The sequence below is a fragment of the Homo sapiens genome, chromosome 17, assembly GCF_000001405.40.
Source record: "Homo sapiens chromosome 17, GRCh38.p14 Primary Assembly".
In the NCBI taxonomy this organism is placed as follows: domain Eukaryota; kingdom Metazoa; phylum Chordata; class Mammalia; order Primates; family Hominidae; genus Homo; species Homo sapiens.
In genome coordinates, this window is record NC_000017.11 from 41,780,767 (window position 1) to 41,799,698 (window position 18,932).

General features: G+C 53.6%; 1 protein-coding gene across 16 annotated transcripts in view, besides 5 other annotated features; it reads right to left on the bottom strand.

Moving 5' to 3' along the window:
• JUP (junction plakoglobin) overlaps nucleotides 1–5,945 on the bottom strand; it is a 32,103-nt gene extending 26,158 nt beyond the window's left edge. For 6 of the 16 annotated variants that reach the window (NM_001352774.2, NM_021991.4, NM_002230.4 and 3 more), the window contains exon 1: nucleotides 5,822–5,945. The gene's annotated coding sequence lies outside the window, so the exon portion shown is untranslated. Of the gene's footprint in view, nucleotides 1–3,214; nucleotides 5,211–5,250; nucleotides 5,342–5,736 lie in introns of those variants that run through there. The other 10 variants (NM_001352775.2, XM_006721874.4, NM_001352773.2 and 7 more) reach the window with 5 other exon arrangements.
• Nucleotides 5,237–5,449: a silencer, noted in NCBI's record as "fragment chr17:39942255-39942467 (GRCh37/hg19 assembly coordinates)". NCBI's record gives its function as "represses an EF-1alpha promoter that drives an FKBP-Casp9 reporter gene in an ReSE screen in HepG2 liver carcinoma cells {active_cell/tissue: HepG2}" and the evidence as "EXISTENCE:reporter gene assay evidence [ECO:0000049][PMID:32094911]".
• Nucleotides 5,614–5,913: a silencer, noted in NCBI's record as "silent region_8499". NCBI's record gives its function as "represses an Ori minimal core promoter by ATAC-STARR-seq in GM12878 lymphoblastoid cells {active_cell/tissue: GM12878}" and the evidence as "EXISTENCE:reporter gene assay evidence [ECO:0000049][PMID:35858748]".
• Nucleotides 10,767–11,430: an enhancer, noted in NCBI's record as "H3K4me1 hESC enhancer chr17:39947785-39948448 (GRCh37/hg19 assembly coordinates)". NCBI's record gives its function as "activates a minimal SCP1, AML or CMV promoter by ChIP-STARR-seq in naive H9 embryonic stem cells {active_cell/tissue: H9 hESC(naive)}" and the evidence as "EXISTENCE:reporter gene assay evidence [ECO:0000049][PMID:30033119]".
• Nucleotides 11,910–12,763: a transcriptional cis regulatory region, noted in NCBI's record as "candidate enhancer chr17.2540 targeted for multiplex CRISPR interference". NCBI's record gives its function as "positively regulates JUP gene expression with high confidence in K562 cells {active_cell/tissue: K562}" and the evidence as "EXISTENCE:mutant phenotype evidence [ECO:0000015][PMID:30612741]".
• Nucleotides 12,095–12,758: an enhancer, noted in NCBI's record as "H3K27ac-H3K4me1 hESC enhancer chr17:39949113-39949776 (GRCh37/hg19 assembly coordinates)". NCBI's record gives its function as "activates a minimal SCP1, AML or CMV promoter by ChIP-STARR-seq in primed H9 embryonic stem cells {active_cell/tissue: H9 hESC(primed)}" and the evidence as "EXISTENCE:reporter gene assay evidence [ECO:0000049][PMID:30033119]".

The following is an 18,932-nucleotide window of genomic DNA, read 5'->3' on the forward strand; positions in this document are numbered from 1 at the left end:
AAAAGCGGTGGCTCACGCTTATAATCCCAGCATGTCGGGAGGCCAAGGTGAGTGGATCACCTGAGGTCAGGAGTTCAAGACCAGCCTGACCAATATGGTGAAACCCCGTCTCTACTAAAAATACAAAAATTAGGCCGGGCACAGTGGCTCACGCCTGTAATCCCAGCACTTTGGGAGGCCGAGGCGGGTGGATCATGAGGTCAGGAGATCGAGACCATCCTGGCAAACACAGTGAAACCCCGTCTCTACTAAAAACACAAAAAAATTAGCCAGGCGTGGTGGCGGGCGCCTGTAGTCCCAGCTACTCGGGAGGCTAAGGCAGGAGAATGGTGTGAACCCAGGGGGCGGAGCTTGCAGCGAGCGGAGATCGTGCCACTGCACTCCAGCCTGGGCGACAGAGTGAGTGAGACTCCGTCTCAAAAAAAAAAAAAAAAAAAAATTAGCTGGGCGTACTGGCAGGCGCTTGTAGTCCCAGCTACGCGGGAGGCTGAGACAGGAGAATCACCTGAACCCGGGAGATGGAGGTTGCAGTGAGCCAAGATTGTGCCACTACACTCCAGTCTGGGTGACAGAGTGAGAGACTCCATCTCAAAAAAAAAAAAAGAAAGAAAGAAAGAGAAAAAGAAAGCTGAGCTTCCTGCTCTGCTGGCCCCAAAGGCCAAGATGCCAGGAGGCTGAGCAAAGGAGAGTGGTCCATGAGCTTGCCCTTCAGGCCTGGCAGAGGAAGTCGCTTCACAATAAGATATTCCATGTCCCCAGACTCAACCATGTCCCAGGAGAGGCCGCTCAGTGTCACTTGCAGGAACACAAGCCCTGGTGACCTGCCCAGCCACACTGCTTGCTTTTCCTCTTCACAGGGGTCACAGGACCAGCTCACAGATGCCTTTCCCTCTCACTGCCAGGTCGCTCTTCTCCCAAAAGATACAAATGAGGAGTCTCCCCAAAGGGCAGCAATTCCTGTCTGGCCTCCCTGCCGCACAGGATGGCCCTCATCAGAGAAGAGTCAATGCTGAGTCTCCACCTCTCCCTCTTATTTCTCAACTCAAGATTTCATCTTTAGCAGGCAGAAAGCCCCTCCTCCTGTCTAGACTGCGTCCCTTCAGTAAGTGCATCGGGCCTGCAGCTCTCAAGTCCTCGGGGGAGATGGAAAAACTGCAACCTCATGCCCTCTTTGTAGTAGTCAGTGGGATGGGGTTCATTCTGTTTTCTTCTCTGTCTCAAGTCCCATTAGCCTTCTCCACGATCAATAATCCCGTTGCCTGGGGTCCCCGCCTGCCCTCAGGGAATCCAGAAGCGCGGTAGTGACAGGTTCAGTACTCCGGCTGCACCATCACATAAAGAGAACCCATTTCCCAGACCCCAAATCCAGGCCCATTCTGGTGTCAGATGTCCAGTTGGCAGAGACACCAGAACCAGGCAGGTCTGGAGAACAATCTGACACCAGCTCCTCCCTAGAGGGCCAAGGCTCTGGCTGACAGGCAGCACACATGACCCCCACCTCCATCACCAGAAAAGCCCTCCCAGCAGCTGCCTATCTCAGGTCTCTTGGGCTTCAGAGCAGAGGACAGCCAGTTCCCCATCAAGAGCAGCCTGGCAGCACTGCCTCGTCAACTCCAGCAGGACATTAGCCCAGGCCTAAATCGGACTCTCGTTTCTCGCCAATCCCCACAGGGCAGCACCCCTTTATCTTGGCATAGCCCCAGCCCCCAGCAAAGCAGGCAACTCCCACTTCCTACACATGAACAAGCCCAGAACAGCCATGGTTCTACCTAACCCAAGCTAGGAGGCAGCACAGCTTTGACCCCTGCCTCCTCTTTCCCTCTCAACCTCCCCCCAACACTCACCACAGCCCTGGCCTTGGGGAGAAGCCGCTTCCACCGGAAACTAAAAATCAAGCCACTGGGGAGATTTAAGTGGGCTGGTGGCCAGGACAGGTATCACCCCCACCTACAAAACCTGCCCTACATTCACCACTCACACATGCCTTCATGGGCCCTTCTGAATTCTCTTCTCCCCAGTCAGGCAGAGGCTCTCAAAAGGGGGTGCAGAAAAATCCTTTCCGCTCACACCTGTAATCCCAGCACTTTGGGAGGCTGAGGCGGGCGGATCTCCTGAAGGTCAGGAGTTCGAGACCATCCTGACCAACATGGTGAAACCCCATCTCTACTAAAAATACAAAAATTAGCCTAGTGTGGTGGTGCATGCCTGTAATCCCAGCTACTCGGGAGGCTGAGACAGGAGAATCGCTTGAACCCAGGAGGTAGACGTTACAGTGAGCCGAGATCGCGCCACTGCACTCCAGCCTGGGTGGCAGAGCGTGACTCCATCTCAAAAAAAAAAAAAAAATCCTTTCCAGAGCTGCATGGGGCAATACAGCAGGATGGGTTCTGGGCTTGGAATCAGAGGACCCAAACGTCAGTCTTGGTGCTGCTTGGGTCTCGCTGTACAACATTGGGGAAATTACTTAAGTTCCTTGAGTTTCAATTTCCTCCTCTGTAGAATGCGAATAATGATACGCGTTTTTTTTGTTTTTTTTTTTTTTTTGAGTCAGGGACTCACTCTGTTGCCCAGGCTGGAATACAGTGACACAGCTCACTGCAGCCTTGACTTCCCTGGGCTCAGGTAATCCTCCCACCTCAACATTCCCAGTAGCTGGGACCACAGGCATGCACCACCACGCCCGGCTAATTTTTCTATTTTTTTGTAGAGACAGGGTTTCTCCATGTTGCCCAGGCTGGTCTGGAACTCCTGGGCTCAATCAAGCAGTCCACCCTTCTGGGCCTCCTAACGTGCTGGGATTGCAGGTCTGAGCCATCCAGCCTGGCCAGCCATAAGGATTAAGTAAAAATAGTTAATGAAAGTGCTTGGTTTGGGCCAGGTGAGGTGGCTCACGCCTGTAATCCCAGCACTTTGGGAGGCCGGGGCGGGCGAATCACGAGGTCAGGAGATCAAGACCAGCCTGCGCAACATGGTGAAACCCTGTCTCTACTAAAAATACAAAAATCAGCCGGGGGTGGTGGCACACGCCTGTAATCCTGGCTACTCAGGAGGCTGAGGCAGGAGAATCACTTGAACCCAGGAGGCGGAGGTTGCAGTGAGCCTGGGTGACAGAGCGAGACTCCATCTCAAAAAAAAAAAAAAAAAAAAAAAAGAAAGTGCTTGGTTTCTGTAAAGTCTTACCTTGATCTTGAGTTACCGTTTGTCAAGTACTTACTGGGTAGATAGGTATTAGTATTCCCATTTTGCCAAAGAGGTCACTGAGGCTCAGGTAATGAGAGACAGAGCTGGGTCTCAAACCCAGCTCAGTTCAAGCCCAAAGCCCTGTGCTCAGAACTGCCCCACTGTCCCATCTCTCCAAATAAACAGTCCTTCTGTAGACTAGTCAATTGACCCATCTCACTCTAAGGTGGCTCCAGGATGGGAAAAAGGTTGGCAGCCCTAGCCCGACCTTTTTCGTTCCTATGCACTGCATTCTCAAAGCCTCGGCCCTGGCAGCCCAAACAGAGGCTCCAGAGGGAATGGGGTGGAGCCAGGGTGCAAGGGAGGGGTGGAGTGGGGGTGGGAGGGCTCAAGTCACCCAAGCTGGGGCTTGATCTAGCAAGAAATGACTAACTGGGTCCTACCTTCTCCTCCTCCCCCGCATCCCCCAGTCCAGTCAGTGGCCAGTTTTCACCAAGCACCTCCTAGCAGTACTTCCTCAGTATTATCTTTTCATCACAGCCACAAACCAGATTAGCTAAACTAATCATGTAGCCAACATAATTACAATGCCCTCCCCTCCTCCACCTTGGCACAGAGAAGAGGGAAAGCAGGTTATTTTTGCCCAAACTCCCTGCTCCTGTTGCTCCCCAGAGGTGCAGAATCCCATCCCCCGGCAGAAAAGGATCTGAGTTCCCACACTGACTTCCCCCTAGCACAGGGCTGAGCGTGATCCCCACCCAGGATAAAGGGGCTGAGTCTGGGCCCCCAGCCTCACTCCCCCATCTACAACAAAGAAAGAGGTGGTAGACTCTTCCCCTCCAAGCACTCTCGATCCCCGCCCCCCACAATCTTTCTCCCACCCCCAGGACTGAGAGAGAACCCAACTGTTGTATTCTCTCTCTGTTCCCCAACGAGGCTGGGCTCCAAATCCTGCAAAAAGACCACATTTCAGATTTTTTTTTTAAACCGGGGTACAAACCCTGATCAAGATCCCCAATTCTGGGTGGGGGGGGGCGGTCTCAGGAAATTGGGAGCAGGGAAGGCAGGGGGCCCGATGCAGCTCTGCCTGAGAGAGTCTAGCATTGAAGAAACCTTCCCCCAAAAAGCCTTCCTGCGGTCTCACTTTCCCTGTCAAATTCTTTCAGGAAAGCGGGTGGGAAAGGTCTGTGCAGGCCTCCAGAAAGCATGCACCTTCACAATTCAGAAATCAAATGGAAGGCAAGTCCCACAGCCTCATGCGCTTCTGCCTCAATAACCAGCCAGCTAAGTAATGTGGGGGATGGGGTAGAGGCAAAAAAAAAAAGACAAGAACAACCACTCCCCCCACCTTCCTCAGTTTGGCCCAGCCCTGCCCCACCCCCATTCCTGGGGAGGGGGCAGAGCTTGAGAGACAACCACTTACGCAGGCCTTGTCTGAGGGGGTGTGGTGGTCCCAGGAGGCAGGAAGAGAAGGAAGAAGCTGCTTCCCCTCTCAGCACTTTCCACCCCCCACCCCGGCCCCTACCTCAGGCCCCTGGGGCCCAGCGAACAGGATGAATGTGGGGGCAGGGAAGACAGGGTCGGAGCCCAGGCACCGGCCCAGGTTCAGCCAGGGGCCGGCTGGGGGAAGGGGTTTTGCACCAGGAAGGACCCCCTAAGCCTAAAGGAAGTTTTGGGCAAGGAGACGGGAAAACCCCCAGATAAAGCTGCTGTGAATACTTCCTCCTGCAAAGTTTGTTTTGGGTGATTTTTTCCAACAATAAGAGGTTAGAGAAGACGGGTCCTGTTCCCCTACCAACACTCTGGCAGCCACAGCTACTGGAAACTGGGCCAGGTGACCCTGAATTCTTCATCCGTGCACAGACCCCACCCCCCAGACCCCAGGGCGAGCCACGGGTGCCAGACACCAGCTGGACACTGAGCCGAGCCCTGCACCCCCCAGTCACTCCATCCCACCTCCGCTGAAGAAGCCAGAGCCGGGCTCCCACCGGCGTGGAGGGAGGCGCCGCAGGTAGTATCGACGAGGCTCTGGGAGCTGGAGGGCAGGGCCTCTGGACTCCGTGCGCTCACCTGCTCGGCAGGTGGGGCCAGAGTCGCTGGGAAAATGTGCGCTCGGCCCCCACAGTTGGGCAAGCTGGGCGCAAACAATAGGGCCCCACCCAGGCCTGGGGGAGTAGGGAGGGAGGGAAAGCGAGGATGACGCGTGGGGTGGGGTGAGGGTGGCCCCAAAGAGACCAGCGGCAGCAAGTTCCCCAAACGGTAAATTCCTGACTGCAGCGTGAGCCCTGGGACGCAGTCGAAGCAGAGCAAAGTCTCCCCCGCCAGCCCAGGGCGAGAGTCAGGGACGCGGCGTCGGGCGAGCTGCGCGGGCCCCGGGGGAGGCGCGACCCCGGAGGCACCTGTCCGGATCCCTCCCCGCCTTGCTCAGATCTCTGGTTCGCGGAGCTCCGAGGCGCGCTCGGCCCGAACCGCGCGACCCCCAAGTCGCCGCGCCCAGGACCCCAGCGCGCCCCCTGCCGCCGGTGCAGGGTGGCGCTCGATGGCACCGGCCCTCACCTGCCCAGGGACGGCTGGGACCGGCCCCGCGGCCGCTCGCCACCCCTCTGTCCCCAACGATACCTGCGCCCCCGATAGCCCGCACCTGAGTATGGGGCCTGACCGGGCCGGGTCGGGGTCGGGCCGGGGTGGGAGCCGGCGCGGACAGCGAACTGAGCTCGGCGTGGTCGGGCGGCGGCTGCTCCGGACTCTGGCCAAGGCAGCAACTCAGTAACCGAACAAAAGGCGAAGAGACCTGACAGCCAAGCCACGCCCCTCGCCACCTCGAAGCTCCGCCCCTGGGGGAGACGCCCACCCTCTGGTGCGAGCTCACTGGCTATCTCGCCTGACTGTCCCGTGGAGGGGCGGAGCCTCGCCTCCAGTCCTCTTCCACGGCCGCCTCTGTTTATCCGCTTGCCATTGGCCCCGGGGACTGCCAGTCGGCTCTAGGGATGGACTCTAACTTGAGGTCTCATCCTAACATTGCATCTATTGGCAGATAGAAAGTTACTTCCTCCTGATTGGACAAGGCTCTGTCAGTAAGACTAAGGAAAAAACCAATGGAAGGGATGGGGTGTGTCTTGCCCCACCCTTGCTCTGAGCAGGTGAGACTCATTACTCTCCCCTTCCCCCTACCTGTCCAACAGGTAAGTCATAGGGATACCAAGGGAAGGGACAGACGCCTTCACCGGCCAGCCAACTCAGCGTCAGGCATGATGCTTCTTTGGGCTTATTCATCCTTGCCCCAAAGTAGTAATCACATATTTGTATAGCATTTCATAGGCTTTGTGCTGGGGTGGGATTTTTTTCCCGAAAGATGGAGTACTCCTGGGATTTAGAATTAGAAGGCCAGGTTTGGTCTTCTCCCACTTGGTATGATTTTAGGCAAGTTACTTCACCCTGTTTCTCCTCTTCTGTAAACTGGATACATTAGCCATATCTACCTCACTGGAGTATGTGGGGATTAAATGAGGTCAGGTTTGTGAAAGCACTCAGAAACTGCTAAAGGTTAGAAATTTAAATTAACGGTATGTTTTTTTTTAATTATTGTGACAGCTCTGAAAAATAGTTAGGATGAGAAAACGACCCTCATTGTAAAGATGAAGAAACCGAAGTTCAGAGAAGTCACAAAACTACAAAGTGGCACACCCCAAGCTAGAACCTCCTTCCTCTCATTTGAAGGACCATCAAACCAGCTGTTCCCCTCATGGAAGAGGAGCATAGACATAAAATGTCAAGGCAATGGGGAAGGGGCAGAGAAAAGGCACAAACACTTGGAGGAGAGACAGAACAATTAATTGGCACAAAAATACAGTATTGGTGTCAGGAGGCTTTGGTGGGCTTGGAAACATCAAGCAGCAGATCTGAAGGAAATCCAGCCCTGGCATGAAAGAAACGGGGCAGGCCAGGCGCAGTGGCTCACTCCTGTAATCTCAGCATTTTGGGAGGCAAAGGCGGGTGGATCACCTGAGGTCGGGAGTTCAACACCAGCCTGGCCAATATGGTGAAGCCCCATCTCTACAAAAAATACAAAAAGTTAGCCGAGCGTGGTGGCGGGCAACTATAATCCCAGCTGCCTGGGAGACTGAGGCAGGAGAATTGCTTGAACCTGGGAGGCGGAGGTTGCAGTGAGCCGAGACCATGTCACTGCACTCCAGCCTGGGCATGACAGAGCGAGACTCCATCTCAAACAAAAAAAAAAAAAAGAAAAGAAAAAAATAAACCGGGCAGCACACCCCTCTGCGATAGGAGAGCCTGGGGTAGAGATCAGAGAGAACTTCTCGGCCAGGCGTGGTGGCTCATGCCTGTAATCCCAGCAATTTGGGAGGCCAAGGTGGGCAGATCACTTGAGGTCAGGAGTTCGAGACCAGCCTGGCCGACATGGTGAAACCCCATCTCTACTGAAAATACAGAAATTAGCCAGGCATGGCAGCGGGCACCTGTAATGCCAGCTACTCGGGAGGCTGAGGCAGGAGAATGGCGTGAACCCGGGAGGCAGAGGTTGCAGTGAGCTGAGATCATGCCATTGCACTCCAGCCTGGGTGACAGAGTGAGACTCTGTCTCAAAAAAATAAAAAGGACTTCTCACAGGCAGCTTAAGAAGACAAGGGCACTTCCTTTCTGTGGTTGATGACATGAATGCTGCTCGTGGCTGTATGGTGTGCCAAGGGCCCTACAAACATTCCTTCATTCAACACTTGAGTATTCATTGTCAACTGTATGTTAGGCACTGGTGAACACAGAAAATAAAACCTGGTGACACAGGAAATAAAAATGATCCCAACCTTCAAAGAGCTCATAGAAGGATAAGCAGAAGCAGCGTGTGTGGGTGGGTTTTGGAGGAGTGGTGGTTTAGAAAAGGGTCCCCCATCAACAAAGCTCTACAGCCCCAAAGCTAGCACACAGGATGGGCTGGATGAAGGTACCTTAGCAGCAACCTTGACCACTTTCCCCACCAGAGAAAAGAATGGTAGCTGAACATTCTCCCTTCTGAAGTTGCGCCATCCAAAAGCAGGGCCAGGGAGATACGGACATCCCTGAACTAGTGGCCATCCCATAACCAGGGCCACCGCCCTTTGCCTGTTTCCTCAACTCTCCATCCTCCAGCTTACCTCCCTATCTTTATCCCTGCCTTACCCCTGCCCCATCCACCTGCTTGTCACCCTGTCACATAGAGCTGTAGCCAGGCCACAGCTGGGGAAGGAATGGGCTCACAATCCTGGACTGCTGCAGCTGCCAGGGTTTCATTTCTTCCCCCTTCTGCCCACCTCCCACCTCCACACATGCACACACACATACGTCCCAGCTCCAAGCCTGGCCTGACTCCTTCCTATTTCTCCTGACCTCAGCAAAGAGGCAGGGTAGGGCTGGTTGACTGCAGAGAGGGGTGGAGGAGCCCATGTGGGTGGAGGAGCAGAAATAAGGTTTCAGAATAAACCGTGTGTGTGTGTGTGTGTGTGTGTGTGTGTGTGTGTCTCCCCAGAATGCCCCCTGCGTGTCTTAGCATGGAACATGTTGCATAACACCAGCCCCAGAGCTAAACACACAGGCTGGGACTGGTGGAAGCACCACCACAGCAGCGGCAAAGACTGGGATTAGAGCTGAGTCTCTCCTCCCAGATCAAGGGATTCTCTTTAAGCACCTACTATGTGCCTGGCAGGCACTGAGATTCATCTGTATCTGAGAATACAGAATAGAATCAGAAATGATGTTTCCTAGACTCAGCTGTCTGCACAGGCAATTTGGTCTCTTGTGAAAGGAGGTATGTAGGGATAGGATGGGGGTTTCTGTGACCACAGTCTCCCCTGTAGCTTGAACTTGAAGAAAAGGCCGCAAGGTCATCTTATCCAGTCCCCTGCCTGCAAACCTTTAAAGGCAAGAATTCTCTGACAAATGTCCAGGAAAGAAGATCCTGCAGCCTCCCTTATGGTGAATGCCCCTGTCTCCTTGTTCTAATGTCCAGCCTCAATTCCTATTCCTGCAGTTTCAATTCCTTCCTCTTGCCCAGGGCTCAGTGGAAGCAGAGTCCATGGGCTGCCAAAAACACATATGGGTAACTCAACCTTGCAGCTTGCTAGTGCTTCAGAGTAGAGAATATAAGGGTACCACATGGCCCATCTCAAGCTGCTGCAGAGACAGAAGTAACTGGCGCAGAGAGGTTCAGTGAGGGACTGGTGGGAGGGAGGCTCTTTTCTAGGGGAGGGTGCACACCATCAGCCAGTGTCCAGGACCACCAGGCCACCGTCCTCTCCTTATCTCACAACCCCCCTCATCTTCCACGAGGCCTCTGGGCCATACAAGGAGATGGAAGAGTTTCTGTTCTCCATTCAAACACAGTCCTTAGGGCCGGGCACAGTGGCTCATGCCTGTAATCCCAGCACTTTGGGAGGCCGAGGCGGGTGGATCATCCAAGGTCGGAAGTTCGAGACCAGCCTGACCAACACAGAGAAACCCCATCTCTACTAAAAATACAAAAAATTAGCTGGGCGTGGTGGCACACACCTGTAATCCCAGCTACTCAGGAGGCTGAGGCAGGAGAATCGCTTGAACCCGGGAGGCAGAGGTTGCAGTGAGCAGAAATCGTGCCATTGCACTCCAGCCTGGGCAACAAGTGCGAAACTCCAGCTCAAAAGTAAAAAAAAAGAAAAAAAACCCACAGTCCTTATTCTATGGGGGCCTTTTCCCCAGAGACAGGTAGAAATTTAGACGTACACAAGCCACACACACACACACACACACAACCTTCTATGCTCACACCTCAGGGATATACACTTGCGGGTGCAGATTCAGATACACAAACACCAGCTTTCTCTAATACACGCGCGCGCACACACACACACACACACACACACACACACACACACCCTTCTTCCTGCCTCTTCAGCCTCAGGTAGCCTAAGACATAACCACTTCTATAAAGGGGAGCCCAGGGTGACCAGCTGGGTTGCCAAACTTCAGGCTGATGATGGTACATTTTCATCACCCAGTAGCCTCTTCCCCGCGCTTTGCAGCAGCAGAAAAGGAAATCACACAACGGGAGGTTCTTCCCGGATGGCAGACTTGAAAGAAAGGCAATGCAGAAAGCTAGAGGCACCTTGGGTATGAGCCATCTCTCAGCCCAGGGACAAAGCCAGCCTTTTTTTTTTTTTTTTTTTTTTCTCAGAGACAGGGTCTCACTCTGCTGCCAGAACTGGAGTGCAGTGGCGAAATCACAGCTCACTGCAGCCTCAACCTCCTGGGCTCAAGGGATCCCCTAGCCTCAGCCTCCTGAGTAGCTGACCACAGCCGCTACCACACCCAGCTAATTTTTTTTCTTTTTTTTGGTAGAGATGAGGTCTCACCATGTTGCCCAGGTTGGTCTGGAGCTCCTGGCTTCAAGTGATCCTCCCACCTCAGCCTCCCAAAGTGTGGGGATTACAGGTGTGAGCCACCACACCTGGCCAGAGCCATCTTTACACCCAGTTTCTCTCCAGGTCCTGGCCTGTTTTTTGTTTTTTGTTTTTTGTTTTTGGAGTCTCACTCTGTCACCCAGGCTGGAGTGCAGTGGTGCGATCTCAGCTCACTGCAACCTCCGCCTCCCGGGTTCAAGTGATTCTTCTGCCTCAGCCTCCTGAGTAGCCGGGACTACAGGCACGTGCCACCATGCCTGGCTAATTTTTTGTTTTTTTTTTTCTCAGTAGAGACGGGGTTTCACAGTGTTAGCCAGGATGGTCTCGATCTCCTGACCTCGTCATCCGCCTGTCTCGGCCTCCCAAAGTGCTGGAATTACAGGCCTGAACCACCATGCCTGGCCGATCCTGGCCTTTAAAAGGCCTCCACTCTGGCCCTCCTGGGGTTGCCCCCTCCACACAGGGGCAAAGGGACAGAGGAGCCTACATGGACTTCACATTCCTTCTAGACCACACTCCAGGGACCAGCACCAGAAACTCTGGAATTCCTGCCCAACACTGACCCTACTTTCCAGGCCTGCAGGTCGCTGACTCTGGTCCTTCTCCCCAGGAGCAGCGGCACCAGTGCTACTGTGCATGGACACACTTGGGCCAAACTAGGGACATGACAAAGGGCAGTTATTGCTGGGGTGGGGAGATAGAGGCAGCATGGATGCGCGCTAGGAAATCTCCATGCAAGGGCTGGAGGACCTTGTGGCGCAGGCAGAGCCAGAGGTGCTAAGGAAAGGGAAATAGTCCAGGCCCTGGCTGGGGGCCAGGGAGGAGCCGTTCTCCATGGGGCTGCCATGCCCTGACACAGTGAGAACTTGGGACTCCATCATGGACTTTCAGGTCATCGCGGGGGTGCAACTGTCAAGGTATATCTGACCTAGCAGTTCAGGAGCATGCTCCATTTTTTGTTTTTTTGGGTTTTTGTTGAGACAGAGTCTTGCTCTGTTGCCCAGGCTGGAGTGCAGTGGTGCAATCTTGGCTCACTGCAACCTCCGCCTCCCAGGTTCAAGTGATTATCATGCCTCAGCCTCCCAAGTAGCTGGAATTACAGGCACGTGCCACCATGCCCGGCCAATTTTTGTATTTTTAGTAGAGATGGGGTTTCACCATGTTGGCCAGGCTGGTCTTGAACTCCTGACCCCAAGTGATCCACCCGCCTCGGCCTCCCAAAGTGCTGGGATTACAGGTGTGAGTCACCACAACTGGCCTGGGAGTGTGCTCTGTAACTTACCTAGATCTATGGCATGTAGGCCTCATTTGTGCTCTTGGCCCTGCCCACTGGCTTTGGGGGTGGGGGCTTACTCAGAAGGCCCCCTTCAGGGCTCGGGGAGGACACAGCTGCAGAAGAGCCTGCAGGCTCCCAAACTCTGCTGGCTGGAGTGGGCCCAAGCATGGCCAGAAGCTGGGAAGGGAGCAGGAGGCTGCAGGGCTCTGGAGGGAGGCTGTGGGGAGATGGACTCCTGCCTTTTTTCCTGCCTTGTGTCCAGGGGAGGGGCCTTGAGGCCAGAGGCTGCCCACAGCCTGGTCCTGTGGGCGTGTGTCTTTTAATTACAGATGTAGCTCCAGCGACACTTCACTGCAAGGCGTGTGGGTGGGGATGGAATGTCAGAAGGAAAACAGGAGACAAGAAAACAGAGATAGGACGGGCCAGAAATAGTACAGGCCAGGGTGAGATAGCAGCGGCCAGTGGTGGTGGAGGGAGAGGCTGGAGGAGGGTCTGTCGAAACCTCTCCAGAGAATGCCTGTCCCAGGCTGCCCCTCCTTATTCACCCCAAGCCCCGCAAGTTGAAACTCCAGGACCGGTGGCATCTAGATCGGGCTCCAGAGCTGGTTCACCAACTCCCTAAGCAACACCCTCCTCCTGAGTGGGGAGGGGTAGCCGAGCCTTTGCGACCTGAGTCACCCGCTTCCTGCTCCTGGTCTGGGCGACTCCATGCACAGGCTGACACAGCTGGGGCCCCACCTGCCCTGCCAGCCTGTCCCGCTCCTCCCTCTTTCCACAAGCCAGGAGAGATGCCTGCCCTGACAAGGCATGCTTCCCACGGAGAGGCCATCCCTCTCACGCGCACACACGGCTGGAGGCAGCCATTTCTCCCTGACCTGTGGAGAGCCTTGGGAAGAGGAAGAAGGCATAGTCTAAGCGGAGCCCCCTTTTCCCTGCATCTATGAAGAAACTGCGGCTGGAGCCAGGAGAGGGACTTCCCCAAGATCACACAAGAAAATTCCTGGCAGGGCTGGGACTTGAACCTTGGTCTTCTGCCAGCCAGTTCACCTCCCCCACCAATGTAGGTCTCTTTCCACCCCAAGGAAGGCAAAGACGGGCTGCAGTCAGGGAGGAGACGAGAACCAATTTTGCCAGCTTGATTTTGTCAGCTCAGAGGTGTGACCCCAGGAAAACCTTGGAGTTAGACAGCCAGGGCTGGGGGAGGGGGTGGCTCTGGGTGGTCCCAGACTCAGGCCTTACTTCCCCTAAGCCGACCAGCGGATGGCACCACCTAGAGCCTCTAGCCATCAATTATGCAAACAGACCCTTCCCCACCCCCGCCTCTCGCCCTCCGGCCCTCTCTGCTTCCCAGGTCTTTAAGCGCTGGACTCCACCTGGCTGAGAACTGGGACAGGACTCAGCGGCCCCTGGCCTTGTACTTTCATCCCATCTTTCCCAGTCCCATCCCACGGCCCCCAGGGAATTTGAGAGTTGAGATCCTTGAATATTTCATCAGCACTTCAGCCTCCAGTGGAAGCAGCAGCCAACTTACATCTCCTGGAGCATTTATGGCCCCAACAGAGAACCTGGAAGTAGCCAGGGGGAGGGGTGGGTGCATGGGGGAGGGTGAAGCTTGGGCCAGGCTGCCAATAAGGGTTGATGGAGAAGAAGGCTGCCGGGTCCAAAGTGTGTGTGAGCTGGGGGAAAGGGGCTCCAAAGCCGGGAACATTTCCGTGTTTGAGGATACAGATGTATTTTAAAATAAATAAACAAAATGGAGTTATCAAAACAATTATACGCAAGGTTAAAGTCATATGACAGGGTTTTCTGACTTCAGTCCTGCCCCTGTCTCGTGACTGGGTTTATAACCTCATCCGGAGATAAGGTAAAAAATTTTAATGGGAGCTTTTTTTTTTTTAGGGCTGTGAGGCCCTCAAATGACCCCCTACTGCCTGGGGCCAGGGAGGAAAGGCCAAATTCTCCAGCTACATTGGCTGAAACTTGCCCCTTCCCAGCCTCCTCCTCCAGGAAGGTCAGGAGGATTTAGCCCAGTAGTCAAGGAAAAATAAAGTAATTTGGCTTAGCTACCCCTTATTTTACCCCAGAAACACAATATCACACTTTTCTTCTGAAAAGAAAGGTGAAAAGGGTGACCTCAAATGGAAAATGTCAAGTTCTCTTGGCCTCTTCTTTGCACATGACCTCACTTAGTAAGTTCTTCTGGAGAGCGAAAGGATCAAGGCTGAGCGAGGTGGCTCACGCCTGTAATCCCAGCACTTTGTGAGGCCGAGGTGGGCAGATCACCTGAGGTAGAGAGCTCGAGACTAGCCTGACCAACATGGAGAAACCTTGTCTCTACTAAAAATACAAAATTAGCTGGGCTTGGTGGCGGGCACCTGTAATCCCAGCTACTCAGGAGGCTGAGGCAGGAGAATCGCTTGAACCCGAGAGGTGGAGGTTGTGGTGAGCCGAGATCGCGCCATTGCACTCCAGCCTGGGCAACAAGAGCGAAACTCTGTCTCCAAAAAAAAAAAAAAAAGAAAAGAAAAGAAAAAAGAAAGGATCAAGTGCAGATGCTCCTCAACTTCAGAGGGGGGTTATGTCCTCATAGACATTGTAAGTTGAAATGCAATATAGGGAGCCCCCATCTGTACAAAACGTTAAAAAATGAGCTGAGCATGGTGGCACATGCCTGTAGTCTCACCTGCTCAGAAGGTTCACTTGAGCCTGGAAGGTGGGGGTTGCAGTAATCCGAGATCATGCCACTGCACTCTAGCCTGGGCAACAGTTCGAAACCCTATCTCCAAAAAAAAAAAAAGAAGATTGTGAGAGGAGACAAGGGGAAAAAATTAAAATTAAAAATTAAAAAAAAAGAAGAAAATGTACTTAATACACCTAACCTACATCATGGCTTAGTTTAGCCTACCTCAGATGGGCTCAGAACACTTCAGCCTACAGTGGGGCAAAATCGCCTAACATGAAGCCTATTTTATGAGAACTTGTTGAATATTTTGGCCAGGCACGGTGGCTCATGCCTGTAATCCCAGCACTTTGGGAGCCCAAGGCAGGCGGATCAGTTGAGGTCAGGAATTCAAGACCAGCCTGGGCAACATGGTGAAACCCCGTCTCTACTAAAAATACAAAAAATTAGCCTGGCATGGTGGTGCGCGCCTGTAATCCCAGCTACTCAGGAGGCTGAGGCTGGAGAATTGCTTGAACCCGGGAGGCGGAGGTTGCAGTGAGCGGAGATTGCGCCACTGCACTCCAGCCTGGGCAACAACAGTGAGACTCTGTCTCAAAAAATAAAAAGAAGAACTTGGTGACTATCTCATGTAATATACTGAATACTATACTGAAAGTGAAAAAATAGCATGGTTGTTTGGGTGCTTGAAGTACAGTTGCTACTGAATGCTTATCACTTTTATACCATCCTAAAGTCAAAAAATCCTAAGTTGAATCATTGTAAGCTGGGGACTGTCTGTACAGTATATGCATGTGGAGGGAAGGGTAAACAACCTTATCCTCCAAGTTATCTGTTTCCCCACCTGAGTCACAGGCATGAGGTATTCCCATCCCAAGGGCTGTTTGCGGGACAGAAGAGATGCTATCCAGGAACGTTGGCGCCAGCTGGGACCCAGGCAGGCAGTGATTATGCAGTGGTGTGTCCATAGGTCAGACCTGGGGTTTGGGATGGGGCCGGTACCAGGGGGCTGTCCCCAGCCCTCAGCACACTCCCATCTAATTCCCAAGTCATCTTGGAACTTGTGAAGGGAGCTGGGCAGGGCTGCGCCAGCCTAGCTTAGAGTGAGCCTCAGCCCTGGGGGCCCAACCCAGACTCTCTGGGCCTCTGTTTCCCCATCCACAAAATGGAAGCCATCTATCTGCCAGGGTTGTCCTTAGAGACAAGATACAAGAGAAGGCCTGGAGCAAGGCCCCAGAATGGGGAAACTGTCTAAGAGTTGAGTCCTGTGGCTGCCAGGATCTCCCCAGTCATGTTGAGCTATTGGCTCTAGCAACAACTGGCCACAGCCTTCTGACAAGGGGAAGGGCCACTCTTTGTTCCCAAGGGAGTTTCTATTCTCCTAGAGACAGAGAACCAGGTTGAGACTTCAAGAACTACTTTTCTTTTTTCTTTTTCTTTGTTTCTTTTTTGTTTGTTTGTTTGTTTGTTTGTTTGTTTTTTGAGACGGAGTCTTGCTCTGTCACCCAGGCTAGAGTGCAGTGGCGCAATCTCCGCTCACTGCAAACTCCGCCTCCCGGGTTCAAGCAATTCTCCTGCCTCAACCTCCGGAGTAGCTGGAACTACAGGCACCCACCACTATGCCCGGCTAATTTTTTGTACTTTTAGTAGAGACGGGTTTCACCGTGTTAGCCAGGATGGTCTCGATCTCCTGACCTTGTGATCTGCCCGCCTCGGCCTCCCAAAGTGCTGGGATTACAAGCGAGAGCCATCGCGCCCGACCTTTTTTTTTTTTTTTTTTTTTTTTTTTATTGTGACAGAGTCTCGCAGTGGCACGATCCTGGCTCACTGCAACCTCCACTTCCCGGGTTCAAGCGATTCTCCTGCCTCAGCCTCCCAAGTAGCTGGGATTACAGGAGCCCACCACCACACCCAGCTAATTTTTTATATTTTGAGTAGAGACAGGGTTTCACCATGTTGAGCAGGCTGGTCTCAAACTCCTGACCTCAGGTGATCCACCTGCCTCAGCCTCCCAAAGTGCTGGAATTACAGACATGAGCTGCGCCTGGCAAGAACTACTTTTCAAATCTAAGAGTGGAATTTCTTCGGCTGGAATTTACTGAATTTGCGGGGAGCCCAAGGGACTCCCTCCCACCTCCCTGAACATGACTCTCAGGATTCAGGAAGTTGTTAGTCTAAGTGATCCCAGCAACTCTGTCCCCAGGCCCCCCTGCCTCCCTTCATTCATTTCTTCCTTCTGTCCTCCCTCCCTTCATTTCTTCTTTCTTTGCTCCCTTCCTCCTCCTTTCTTCCTTTCATTTTTTTCCTTCCCCCTCCCTTCCCACTCCTTGCCTCCTTCAGCGAGAGCTGAGCTATGGCATTGCAGGGGATTTTTTTTTTTTTTGGGGGTACTCACTCTGTCACCCAGGCTCCAGGCTGAAGTCCAGTGGCCTGATCTTGGCTCACTGCAACCTCCGCCTCCCAGGCTCAAGTGATCCTCCTACCTCAGCCTCCTGAGTAGCTGGGATTACAGGCATGTTCCACCACACCCAGCTAATTTTCTTTTTTTTTTTTCTTTTGAGACAGAGTTTTGCTCTCGTTGCCCAGGCCAGAGTGCAATGGTGCGATCTGGGCTCACTGCAACCTCTACCTCCCAGGTTCAAGAGATTTTCCTGCCTCAGCCTCCCAAGTAGCTGGGATTACAGGCATGTGCCACCACACCTGGCTAATTTTGTATTTTTAGTAGAGACGGGGTTTCACCATGTTGGCCAGGCTGGTCTCGAACTCCTAATCTCAGGTGATCTGCCCGCTTCGGCCTCCCAAAGTGTTGGGATTACAGGTGTGAACCACCATGCCTGGCCTAATTTTTGTATTTTTTGGTAGAGACAGGGTTTCACCATGTTGACCAGGCTGGTGTCGAAATCCTGGGCTCTACTGATCCACCCACCTTGCTTGGCCTCCTAAAGTGCAGGGATTACAGGTGTTAGCCACAGCGCATGGCCCTGTAGGGGATTTATCTCCACATCCTGCAGCGCACCCTCTCCTCTCCCTGTCCCCAGCTGACAGCCTAACAAAACCAGGCTGGCCAGGCAGGGTGGCTCACTCCTGTAATCCCAGCACTTTGGGAAGCTGAGGCAGGCGGATCGCGAGGTCAGTAGATCAAGACCATCCTGGCCAACATGGTGTGTCTCTACTAAAAATAAATTAGCCAGGCCTAGTGGCATGTGCCTGTAATCCTAGCTACTTGGGAGGCTGAGGCAGGAGAATCACTTGAACCAGGGAGTTGGAGGTTGCAGTGAGCCGAGATCACGCCACTGCACTCCAGCCTGGGCTGGAGTGAGACTACGTCTCAAAAATGAACAGACACACACCAGGCCAGCCCCTGCAACCAGGGCATTCTCTCTCTTCTCTGAGCAGCACTGATTTAGTTAGAAAAGATCCAAACCCAGCTCAGTCACCAACCACCTCAAGGAACCCTGGACAAACTGCTTCTCACTCCTCAGCCCCACCTGGAGCAGAGGGGAACTGACATGTACATCTCAGGACTGTTTTGAGGGTTATCAATAATTTGTCAAGAGGCCTGGTGGTGGCTCATTCCTATAATCCCAGCACTTTGGGAGGCCAAGGCAGGAGGATCACTTGAGCCCAGGAGTTTGAGACCAGCCTAGGCAACAGAGCAAGACCCTGTCTCTACCAAAAATCAAAAAAATTAGCTGGGTGTGCTGGCACGTGCCTGTGGTCACTGCTACTCCGGAGGCTGAGGTGGGAGTATGGCTTGAGCCTGGAAGGTGGAGGCTGCAGTGAGCCGTGATTGTCACTGCACTCCAGCCTGGGTGACAGAGCAAGATCCTGTCGCAAAAAATAAGCTCCCAAGTGCCTGGCACACAGCAGGCACTTAGGACATCATAGTAGCTCTGATTTCTTTAGGATGGGGTCTTCCCGCGGCATCTGAGTCTGGTCCTGCTGCATGAGGCCAGCCTCCCCAGAGCCCTTTCGGTCATCCCTAACCTCCTACCCATTATTCCAAGATTCTAGGACTGGTGAGGTGCTGGGTGGGGTGTGGGGGCGGGTGGGGAGGTGGCTACCTGAGACAGAGGTGTGGAGGAGGTGAAGCTGTCTGGATGGGTGGAGTCAGGAGAATGAGCTGGAGGGCCCCAGAGGGCCCACACTGGGACTGGCTGGGAGTAGGTTTCACCGGTTTGCAGAGCTGGCTGGGCAATGGGGAGATGCTGGCATCAGGGGAGGCGGGAGGGGCTGGCGGCTCCCTGGGAAAGGAGAGCTGAGTAACGCAAGGCTGAGCCAGTGGCCTGGGCTAAAGGGCTGCACAGGAATGGTGCCTAGAGAGGGTGGGCCTGCTCCCTAATACATACACTGCTTCACCACACACTCGGAG